Source organism: Homo sapiens, chromosome 14, assembly GCF_000001405.40.
Source record: "Homo sapiens chromosome 14, GRCh38.p14 Primary Assembly".
In the NCBI taxonomy this organism is placed as follows: Eukaryota; Metazoa; Chordata; class Mammalia; order Primates; family Hominidae; genus Homo; species Homo sapiens.
This window is the reverse complement of record NC_000014.9, coordinates 29907351-29919352: the sequence shown is the minus strand read 5'-3', so window position 1 is coordinate 29919352 and position 12002 is coordinate 29907351. Positions and strand designations below refer to the sequence as shown.

Genomic DNA, 12002 nt, shown 5'->3' with positions numbered 1-12002 from the left:
CTGGTACAAAAACAATGCATATTCAGACAAATTTCGGCTGTCTAAATCTACAGTTTCCTGTGTAGAAGTTTCTTCCAAAGTTATGAAAGGTTTTATTTGGCTTAAGCCAGACAATTGATATAGTAGCTTAGCAATGTTGGCAAACATGAAACTTAGATTTTAAAATATGCAATCACACAGGAATTTTGTTCAACTTATTTTGGTGAAAAGGAAAAAAATATACACCCTTCACTAGTTCATTGGCATCTATTCTGACTAAACCACTGATTGATGAGGAACTAGTGAATGTATTGCTTGTTTTTAGGCACAATTTCAGGAATTTCTGAATGCTTCTCTCCTTAATTGTCAGCAGCCACTTTTCCCCGCATATATTATAAAACAGTTGAAAAGTATTAATTTAGTAATGAAAATATGAATGAAAAGTATGAATGTGCATAATATATGGTGTTGTTGATAATTAGTTTGATTTTTTCCTACACTCAGTGTTCTTACAGTTAGGTGATTCTCTCAACCTGAGCAATTGCTCAGTGTAGGGTGAAAAGATTAAAGAGATTGCTTATTTGCAGTTATGTAAATATCCACAGTAATCATGAACATTTTTATTTTTCAGTTTGTTTGATTCCATAGCAATTCTGGTTAGGAGTGGCATGTTATACAGGCTTTTGCAAAAGTATTGACATTATTTCACACAATGTCTTGTACAGTCAGAGAGATTGGGGAGGAGAGGACTGAAGGGGCAGTTAAAAACTAGAAATAAAGAGTCAAGTGGTAAATTGAAAAGGCCAGAAAAGTGGAACATTAGATTAAAGGGTCACCACTTGTGTTACGGCAAGTATTTCAGCTACTGTGAGCAGGTGAACATTGAGATCTAATGGTTAGCACCATCTGAAAATATATTCAGAAGCTTCCTAATCAAATTGTACATATGGTACATATTTTTGGTGTCATTGGGGTCATAATAAGTGTTTTTCTTTTACATTTTTGTAAATTACTATTTGATATTTTCATAGTTCTGACTGTTTGAATTACCTGTCTCACGTTGAGTTCCCTTTGTAACACTGCAGGTGATCCTACAAGATTCTTTCTCCCTCCCCAGCATTATTAAGGTATAATTTACTAATAAAAATTATATATACTATGATATATAATGTTTTGGTACATGTATACATTGTGCAGTGATTAAATCAAGCTAATTAACATGTCCATCATCTCACAGACTTATCTTTTCTTGTGTGTGTGGTGAGAACATTTAAAATCTACAATCAGGCAATATATTTCCTGCTTTGAAAAAATCAATTTTGGGGTACTAGGCTTAGTACCTGGGTGACAAAATAATCTGTACAGCCCCCCCATGACACAAGTTTACCTATGTAACAAAACCGTACATGTACCCCAGAAACTAAAATAAAAGTTAAAAAAATCTATTTTTTACTTAAAAAATTATCTACAGGTATGTAGATTTGCTATAATCATACTCTTCAGTTCATAGCACATTTTTTTCATCAGTCCAAGTAAGGATCCTATTGCGTTATGTTTTATTTTGTTTCATTATTTATTTTCAACCAGGCATTGGAAGAACTGTGGTATAGGTATGAAGTATTGTATCTTGACAGTTGAAGCTTGTTTCAGTATACAAAGTTTTTCACAAGGTAATAGATGGTTAAGATAAAATTAAAAGGGTATTCAGCATTTTAAATAAAGAGCTGTATCTCTTTTCTTTTTCGTAAACAATAGAATAAAAAGAATCTGAATATAATTAAATTCTAACTTGATATGTCACAAACAGAAACGTATTTCTACATCAACTAAAATAATTTGTTCAAATATGAAATCCATGTATCATTACATGAGCCTGCTGTTTTTTTTGTAAATGGTTTAAGTTGACTTTTGACTAGGAATTTTTGCTTGAAATTTATTCACCGACATTTATGTTGATGTAAATTTCAAACTTTCTTAAGAATCAAAGCACTTTTCATTAATTATTAAGATTAATCTGTTAGGTTAAAGTGTTAATAAAAGTTTTTAAACTGTCAGTTTTGGCCATACCAAAAATACAGAGCCTTTTCCTAGGTTGTCTAAATCCATCATATTAATGACATAATAATTACAGGATGATTATGGAACTATTTCTTTGTTTTGGGTGAATGACTAGCTAGAAAGAGACTGGGGATTCAGTTCTAGTTCAGGTGCTAGAATTAAGTTCCAGAGACTTGATTGAATTAGGCCATTTATCAATAGTCAAATGTTTATTAAAGACACTCTTTCTTAAGCTTTTTATCAATTAAACATGAACATTTCCCCCCCTCCCTTCTAACTCCTCACATTGTTCAGAAATGGTGGTAGGCTTGTGTTCTGGTAGGGCCTCTTGGGTTAGACCAGGGAGTTCTTATCATTACAAAAAGTGGCTATGTCCTTTTCAGAGTGTTAGGAGATCATGGTTAGAATTTAGGGAGGAACACACTTAAGGGAGCATTTGGCAGAGGGACTAGGATGAGTTCGAAGACATTTCAGTGTGACTTCTTTGCCACGGGAAAAAGAGATTATTAGGGTGAGACTTGATACTATTTCTTAGCCTACAGAAAGGTGAGGTCTACTGTCCATTTTGAGACATCTATATAGTTCTGTGGTGCAAAGCTGGTATCATCTTTGCATTTAGCATCCTTGGAAGGCTTGGTCTGTGTCTCTAATATGGAAATCTGCAAGTAAGAACATGGGTGACCAAGAGTCGCAGTTATTTAGAGATTGGTTAGTGCTGTTAGATCCTCAGAACAGTAACACTAGAGGTTATGACCACTTGACCAAACAGCCGTAGCTTTTTCACCATTGTCAAAAGCAGGAAAGAGTTGGGGAATGGTGTCAGTTAATCTTTGGTGATGACTTTGAATCAGTGGTGGTGAATAGACCTGAAACAGTGACAACAGGCAAAGTCTGTGGGCTTCTGAGACTTATGGCACCTGAGGGCAGAAAAGAACATGACAGCAAAGCTCTGACCTTCCTGTGGCTAGAGCCAGAAGAAATGGCCACGCTAGATCACTCAGGAATAACAGTGGAAAGAGATCTTGGAGGTTGCTTTTTACAAGCGGAGTAGTCCTCTTTAGAAATTCCATGAGCATCACAGGTGAGAGCTCCAAAGAGCAACTTCATGATGACCTGTCTGTAAGAATTTTGAAAAGCTTATCCCAGGAGCCTTGGGTCATGATAGGCAAGGTTCCAGGGCCTCTTCTGGAAAATTCTGTGAGTGTCAAAGCACCTTGAACTGGTGGTTTCTCTCACAGTACAATGGCCAGCAGAGGGGAGCCTCCAGGAACAAAACCTTCCTGACATTTACTTTGTGTGCCAATCTGTATCTTGGCTTTTCATTTGTCTTTTCTGATTTTCACAGCAGCCCTTTGTGGTAGTAATTTTATCTCTATTTTAAGGATGAAGAAACTAAAGGTTGGAGAGGTTAAATTATTTACCTCAAGACACACAGCTACTACGTAAAAAGCAGACCCTCCCAATACTTTATTCGCTTGCTTGAAAGGCCGTAGATTTGTAGGAAGAGTTTGGAATTATCAGATTATGGGAGGAAATTTAAATCTTCCTATTGTGTTGGCTGAAATTTACTTAAAAATGCTTAAACTTTGACAGTGTGGTATTATTGATTTATTTGAATTATTCCTTAGTCTAGAAGGCTTCCCTCATCTGGAATTCACATCCCAGTTAGTGACCAGCTAGAATCCTAGTCACTTTGGAGGCCACTACTACAAGGATTCTCTTATTGGTGGCAAGATTCCCCCCCACTTCCCACCCCTTCAGCATTTATAATTAATAGAGAGAACATTAGAACTGGACGGTCATTGGGGAAATTAGTGAAATTTGAGAAATATTTTTATATCTCTTTTAGAAATACTAAATCTGCCTGTTTTAAAGATACTCCTCACCCTTGAGGAATCATATGATCTATAGTACGTCTAATTGTAAATTTTTTTTGAAATATATTTCTGTTTGTGTAGCAGAATTTGGTTTGGAATTTGCTCCTCTGGTAACAAAATTGTGGAGATAGCCAGTCCTTACCCACCTGGACATTTTCAGATGCCACTGTCTTCATCCAAAGAAGTTAATTACCTTGTGTAACTGAATTGGCCTTTTTTCCAATAAGATGTGGCCACCAAGTGTTGTGGAAGAAGAGATTATGGTAAGACCATATATTGATCATTGTGGTTCAAAATTAGTAGATGTAAAGAATTACATTTATCAGTGTAAATCAATGAATCACTCTTGAATAGTACACTGATTCTGAGCAGGTTCTGAGAAAACAACTAAGGGTCCTTAAGAAAAGTGCCTTTCAGGCTGGGCGTGGTGGCTCATGCTGTAATCCCAGCACTTTGGGAGACTGAGGTGGGCAGATCACAAGGTCAGGAGATCAAGACCATCCTGGCTAACATGGTGAAACCCCGTCTCTACTAAAAATACAAAAATTAGCCAGGCCTGGATGGCGTGAACCCGGGAGGCGGAGCTTGCAGTTAGCCGAGATCACGCCACTGCACTCCAGCCTGGGCGACAGAGCAAGACTCCGTCTCAAAAAAAAAAAAAGAAAAGAAAAGTGCCATTCAGTGTTTGCTTTTCTTATTTATTTATTTAGAGATGGAGTGTTGCTCTGTCCCCCAGACTGGAGTGCAGTGTGATCTCAGCTCACTGTAACCTCCACCTGCCGGTTCAAGCAATTCTTCTGCCTCAGCCTCCTGAGTAGCTGGGATTACAGGCATGTGCCACCACGCCTAGCTAATTTTTGTATTTTTTGTAGAGATAGGGTTTTACTCTGTTGACCAGGCTGGTCTCGAACCCGCCTTGGCCTCTCAAAGTGCTGAGATTACAGGCGTGAGCCACTGTGCCCGGCCTGCTTTCCTTTTAGAAGTAGTATTTGGGTTGTATATTTGCTAAGGGTCATTCTTCACAAATATGTATGTTTATTCTTTTAATAAAGTTTGTTTGCTTGCTTATTTTTTGTCAATTATGAGTGAAGCCACCTGAAGGTAAACTTACTCCCACTTGTACATGATCAATCACCAGCTAAGTAGAAGTTTTCTTTCCACTTCAGCGGTTGAATTGAATTGTGAATTGCCTTGCATCCTTTCACATTGTCTGTGTCCAGGGCTAATGCCAACACGTAACTTCCCTCGTAGACTAATTGTACTTTCCTCAAACTTTACAAAAATGTAGATGTAAGTGTGTCTATATATAAAGAGAGATGACTTGACCTAAAGCACATTCACAATTCAGTTCGATTCTAACGGTTCCTGCCCTGAATGAGTACTGCATAGCATACAGTAAAGTAGTTTTCCCTAATGTACTAGAAAGGTGCTTTTCTTTGATGTATTTGGAACTTTTGAACTTTAGTACAATGGACAACTTACATAGAGACTTCTCTTTTCACGAGTTACTGGTAGTATCTTGCTAATGAAAAGGCAGCAGACATCTCCAGCTGTACTAGAGGTCTGAATTTACTAGATATCTGTTAGTCAAGTACTGTGCCTTGTAAACCTTATCTTCAGATAACTCATCTTAGCTAGTTGGACACAGGGCGTCAGTTGTTGCTTGAGTGGTAAAGCGAATCACGCATGCCTAGCTTTCCTTTACCAAATTACGAGTACTCAGAAATAACTGATTAACTTCAGAGCAACCTTTGTGACAGATGTTAATTTCATCTACTAATGTGGAATGTCAACTAGGATGTAGATCTTAACAATATTTACATAAACCCAGTGGCTTCCATACATTTTTGAAGAATGAAAAACTACATCTTGCATGATCTTTGCCTTTTTTTCAATTCTTTGAGAAGGATAAGGAGCAAAAGTAAACATAGAGTGAGGATGGATTAATGGAGAGGAGTTGCTCTAATACACTAAATTAAATAGGCTGACCATATGCTCTGTTGTCCAGGACAGTCCCAATTCCATGCCTGTTGTCCTGGAATTCTTTTAAATTGTATATTCACTAACAAAAACAAACAGTAAAGAAAAACAGAAAGAAAAACCTGACTTAGGGCACACATTTTATTACCTTTTGGCCAAAAAACCTGTACATTTAAGGAGAAAGGTAAAACTTACATTTCATAGAAAGAGTCATCAAATCATGTATATTAACCATGTCATTTTTGGTAACTCTTCTAAATGGTTTAAGCTAAAAACAAAAACAAACACCCTACTTAGGTTAGAATGTTATCCACTTTGAAACAAATGTTTCTGTATAACTTAAAAATGAAAAGACAACTAACATTTAGAATTCATTTCGTAAGCTAATTGCTTAGTCTCACTTTGAATGTAATATATAAAGTAGTTTCAATGCTCTTTTTCAACCAGTCAGTAATCCAAGATACTGCAATAGTGCATTTGTATCAAACAGCAAATAACTTTGATTATTGTGGTAGTACATACTAAATTGATTCTGGAGGTACATAATACCTTTATTAATTCAAGTAGTTAAACAGAAAAGCCTGCTTTGAAGCTGTAGCGTAAAGTGCTCTTCACAGTAATGACAAAGGCAAAATACATGGACTTAGATGCAGAAGGGTGACACTGTGTATCATAGTTTCAAGTTGTACTTTATTGTGTTCTTTTCACTGGAGAAAATACGGTTAGCTAAAAAAGGAGGAACACTATATACAGATGTCTTTGATTATTTAGAAAATTTGTTTTTTATTTAAAAAATAAGTAGGCAAATAAGAGAGAGAAAATTTTGGAAGTTGGGTTGTCCCAAAATAGGAATGTACGGACTGTAGCGCATATTTGCTTAAGATGTTCAGAGTCATGGTCTGGGTGAAGCAGATATGTGAGTTATACCTATTACTCTATACTTGGTTTCTGTTGATGAATATACTATTGAAGTCATGTTAAGAATTATAGGTTTGGAAGTCACAATGTTGAATATTCTGGCTCTGAAAAATAATGCAAGTCAGGGGACAAAAGCCACTTGAAAAGGAACTTGATTTAATCATTCCTGTTTAGAATTTTCTCCATGTGGAAAATTATGATTTTTATACTTTAATTAAATAATTGTTTTTTTTTGAAAATTACAAAATAACACTTCGTGGTAGGCTAAATAATGACCCTCCAAGATGTCTACATCCTAATCCCTGGAACCTTTGAATGTTACCTTATAGGTCAAATGGGACTTTGTAGATGTTGTTAAGGATTTTGAAACAGGGAGATGATACTGTGTTATCCAGGTGGGTCCAGTCCAATCGCATAAGACCTTAAAAGTGGACAGTTCTCCTAACTAGGTCAGACAGGTGAATATGAAGAGCAGGAGCGATTCAAAGAATGAGAGATTCAGTGCCCTTTTGCTGACTTTGCAGATGGAAGAAATGGGCCATGAGCCAAGGAATTAAATAGGCTGTAAGAGGAAAGCAGGAGGAGGTAGAGTCATGTAGTAGGAGATGTGACAACAGAAACAAGATGTTGGAATTATTCGAGGAGTAGCTCATGAGCCAAGGAACATAGGAAAAGCTAGAAGCTGCAAAAGGCTAGAAAAGATTTCTTCCTTCCAGAAGGAACCACATTTTGACTTTTGCCTAGAAAAACTGGTTTGGACTTCTGATCTCCGAAACAGTAAGATAATAAATTTTTGTTTAGTAAAGCCACTAAGTTTATGGTAAATTGTTACAGGAACAGTAAGAAACTAATATGTCACACTCATTGCAGAAAAGGTGAGAAATTCAGATAAGCCCCAAAGTGGATCATACTACTCAGAGTTAAATATAGTTAATATTTTGGTGGATATCTTATTTTTTTCTGTAAGCAAATATGCTCATCCAAATTCAAATATGCTTTTATTTGCTCTTTTTATTTGATACTTCTATGTCAGTTTTGAAATATAAAATGTTCAGTGCCCTTGGGGATAGTTTTATGTGAAGAAAAGACTTCAGATATGTACATTGGTTTTATAATTTAATATTCAAGTTATTAAAGTTGTAGATTCAGATGTTACTTCTTAATCTTTCTAGTAGAACTTAAAAATATAAATTTTAATAAGTCTAACAGATTTGAACAACCACATTCAACAATCTTTGAAGAATTATGGTATCCTTTACAAACTTAATTATTAAATGCTTTCAAACATTTGAAATTGCACTTCTAAATTTAAGATATTTGATTTCCTTTAAATACTTCAATCACCTGCTTGATAAACCTTTATATGTTCTTAAGTAGTTCTTACACACCTAATAAATTAAACATAAGTATTGCAAAGTTTAAGTTTTTCAATATTCCGATACCACACACACAAGCCAAAATTAATTACTTAATCATATGTATATAGTATGCACAAAAGTAATGATATTATGGTTTTGATTCTCTTAAACTTCTCTATGTTTAATTTCAAACCTTCCCATGTTTGAAAGATATTTTTTCACCTGTGAAATAATTGTGTGATTCCACACAATTTCTGGAGTTCCCTTCTCACCTTGTCATATAATTTTGCAGTTGTCTTATTGGCTCGATTAAAGTTGCACAAACACCAAGGCTTTTAGCTGGGACAAAGATTGGATTTTTGTGACAAGTATAGATCAACTCCACAGAACCCTATTTCTATCAGTGATTCTATCACTTCAAGAAAGGGGGAATCGTGTATCCCACATCCCTGGATTCCATTTATATATTACCTCTTTGTCCTAACAAGTCTCAAATTCCTTCCTTGATTGATCACTTGATTGGATTTTTAATTCCGTTAGCTCTTAAGATAGGCAAATCTCTTTTTTATCTACATGAAAGACTATTGAAGTTGATGAAATACTACACTTTCATAATCTTTCTTTCTCTTAAGGCTACATTAATTCTTATAGATATTAAGTATGTGATTGAATGTTGGCAGTCTCTAGGGCTTTGTGAAACTGTGTCCAAAATTGGTGGGTTCTTGGCCTCGCTGACTTCAACAATGAAGCCACGGACCCTCGCGTTGAGTGTTACAGTTCTTAAAGGTGGTGTGTCCAGAGTTTGTTCCTTCTGATGTTCGGACGTGTTCAGAGTTTATTCCTTCTGGTGGGCTCGTGGTCTTGCTGGCTTCATGAGTGAAGCTGCAGACCTTCGCGGTGAGTGTCACAGCTCTTAAGGCGGCGCGTCTGGAGTTGTTCGTTCCTCCCATCCGGAGTTGTTCATTCCTCCCAGTAGGTTCATGGTCTCACTGGCCTCAGGAGTGAAGTTGCAGACCTTCGCAGTGAGTGTTACAGCTCATAAAGGCAGTGTGGACCCAAAGAGTGAGCAGCAACAAGATTTATTGCAAAGAGTGAAAGAACAAAGCTTCCACAGTGTGGAAGGGGACCCCAGCAGGTTGCCACTGCTGGCTAGGGCAGCCTGCTTTTACTCTGCTGATTGGTCCATTTTACAGAGAGCTGATTGGTCTGTTTTACAGAGAGCTGATTGGTCTGTTTTGACAGGGTGCTGATTGGTGCATTTACAATCCCTGAGCTGGACACAAAAGTTCTCCCAGTCCCCACTAGATTAGCTAGACACAGAGCACTGATTGGTGTGTTTACAAACCTTGAGCTAGACACAGGGTGCTGATTGGTGTGTTTACAATCCTTTAGCTAGACGTAAAGATTCTCCAAGTCCCCACCAGATTAGCTAGCTACAGAGTGCTGATTGGTGTGTTTACAAACCTTGAGCTAGACACAGAGTGCTGATTGGTGTATTTACAAACCTTGAGCTAGACACAGAGTGCTGACTGGTGTATTTACAATCCCTTAGCTAGACATAAAGGTTCTCCAAGTCCCCACCAGATTAGCCAGATACAGAGTGCTGAATGGTGCATTCACAAACCTTGAGCTAGACACAGAGGGCTGATTGGTGTATCTACAATCCCTTAGCTAGACATAAAGGTTCTCCGAGTCCCTACTAGACTCAGGAGCCCAGCTGGCTTCACCTAGTGGATCCTGCACCCAGGCCGCAGGTGGAGCTGCCTGTCAGTCCTGCACCGTGTGCCCACACTCCTCAGCCCTTGGGCAGTTGATGGGACTGGGCGCCATGGAGCGGGGATGGCACTCACTGGGGAGGCTCGGGCTGTGCAGGAGCCCATGGGGGGCGGGGGGGGTTGGGTAGGGGGGAGGCTCGGGCATGGCGGGCTGCAGGTCCTGAGCCCTGCCCCATGGGGAGACAGCTGAGGCCCTGCGAGAATTCAAGTGCAGCGCTGGTGGGCTGGCACTGCTGGGGGACCTGGCGCACCCTCCACAGCTGCTGGCCCAGGTGCTAAGCCCCTCACTGCCTGGGGCTGGCAGCGCCGGCCAGCCACTCTGAGTGTGGGGCCCGCCAAGCCCACGCCCACCCGGAACTCATGCTGACCCGTGAGCGCCACTCGCAGCCCTGGTTCCCGCTTGCGCTTCTCCCTCCACACCTCACTGCAAGCAGAGGGAGCCAGCTCTGACCTTGGCTAGTCCAGAGAGGGGCTCCCATAGTGCAGCAGTGGGCTAAAGGGCTCCTCAAGCGTGGCCAGAGTGGGTGCTGAGGCCAAGGAGGTGCCCAGAATGAGCGAGGGCTGCCAGCACACTGTCACCTCTTAAAACCGTCTAGTCACAACTCATAAGACCATTGTTCTTACTCGATATCTTCCTCTGGAAATGAAAGAACACTCATGACACCACTTTCTAGTGTCTAACTAGAATTGGTATATAGATTTATTGCAGTATATTTAACTTGTACCCTACTCTTTGAAATTTAGGATTCTATTTTTTTGTTTGTTTTTCTTTGAAATGTCCTTATGCATAAGCTGTAGGATATTTTAAAAATTGACCAATGTAGGCTGGGTTTGGTGGCTCACGCCTGTAATCCCAGCACTTTGGGAGGCTGAGGCGGGCGGATCATGAGGTCAGAAGTTCGAGACCAGCCTGGCCAACATAGTGAAACCCCGTCTCTACGGAAAAATTAGCCAGGTGTGGTGGTGGGCGCCTGTTATCCCAGCTATTTGGGAGGCTGAGGCAGAAGAATCTCTTGAACCTGGGAGGTGGAGGTCGCGTTGAGCTATCATGCCATTGCACACCATCCCTGGCGACAGTGTGAGTCTCTGACTCAAGAAAAAAAGATTACTGATGTAATATGCATATTGAACTTATTTTGATATTATCTGTTAATATTACTAAAATTAATTCCTAAGATTAAATTGTTGTTTTTATTTCAGAATTATAATGATTCTTTGCTTTTTTCAGTTTGAAAAGTGCAAGTGCATAAGTTTTTTTTTTTTTTTTGCTTTGTCTTTACACAGAAAGATCAAGATGATGTAAGTACAAGATGCGGAATAAACTGTTAGATTCAATAACCAACACTTAAATGGATTACTGAGTAGACTACATATGAAATATATCTAACAGTTTCACGGTGAACAAATAAACTATAAAACCACAGCCTTACACTTTCAACTTTCCTGCTCTTCTTTAGTAAGAACTGGCTTGATTTTTAAAAATATGTGTCACATTTCACTTTGATCTTTTAAAAACAGTTTGGAAAATATACATCTCTATACATGTTTAAGAAAATTCCATAAAACAATTCCTTAGTAGTAAAAAACTCCATTTTATTCTTATCCAGTTTGTTCTACTCTGCAGTATTCTTTAGAAATCTGAAGTACAAATCTTATTTTTAGACACAAATATGAATGTCATCTTTGACACGTCCATGTTTCACTAAAAGTCCTTTCTTTTGCAAAAGAAACAGTTGCTTGCTTATTAAGTACTGTAGAGCTGTCTTTGGTAATTTGAAGTATATTCTGATTGAGAAAACTTTGGTTTATACAAAAAGTTTCAGGATTATCTTTATTCAGTAAATTTAGTAAGATTGGGTCAATCACACGAGAGTATAAACACCACACGACCAGGGATCTTTGCCTATTTTTTTCACTGTTATATCTCAGATATCCAGAACAGTGCCTGGCACTGAATGATTGAATGAATGATTTGTCTCATTATTTTCTTGTTATGCTCTTAGAAGCAGAATTGTGTGGTCTATGTGTATAAAAATTTAAGTCTTTTGTTATACCTG

The 12002-nt window shown here is 38.3% G+C and overlaps 1 protein-coding gene across 5 annotated transcripts in view; it reads left to right on the top strand.

The window, feature by feature from the left end:
• The window catches only part of PRKD1 (protein kinase D1), a 351369-nt gene that overhangs the window by 8495 nt on the left and 330872 nt on the right, over nt 1-12002 (top strand). Inside the window, exon 1 of one of the 5 annotated variants that reach the window (XM_047431589.1) lies at nt 3996-4177. The exons of the other annotated variants lie outside the window; for them this stretch is intronic. Coding sequence (XP_047287545.1) covers nt 4142-4177 — 36 coding nt within the window. The 5' untranslated portion in view covers nt 3996-4141. Of the gene's footprint in view, nt 1-3995; nt 4178-12002 lie in introns of those variants that run through there. 5 annotated transcript variants of the gene reach the window in all.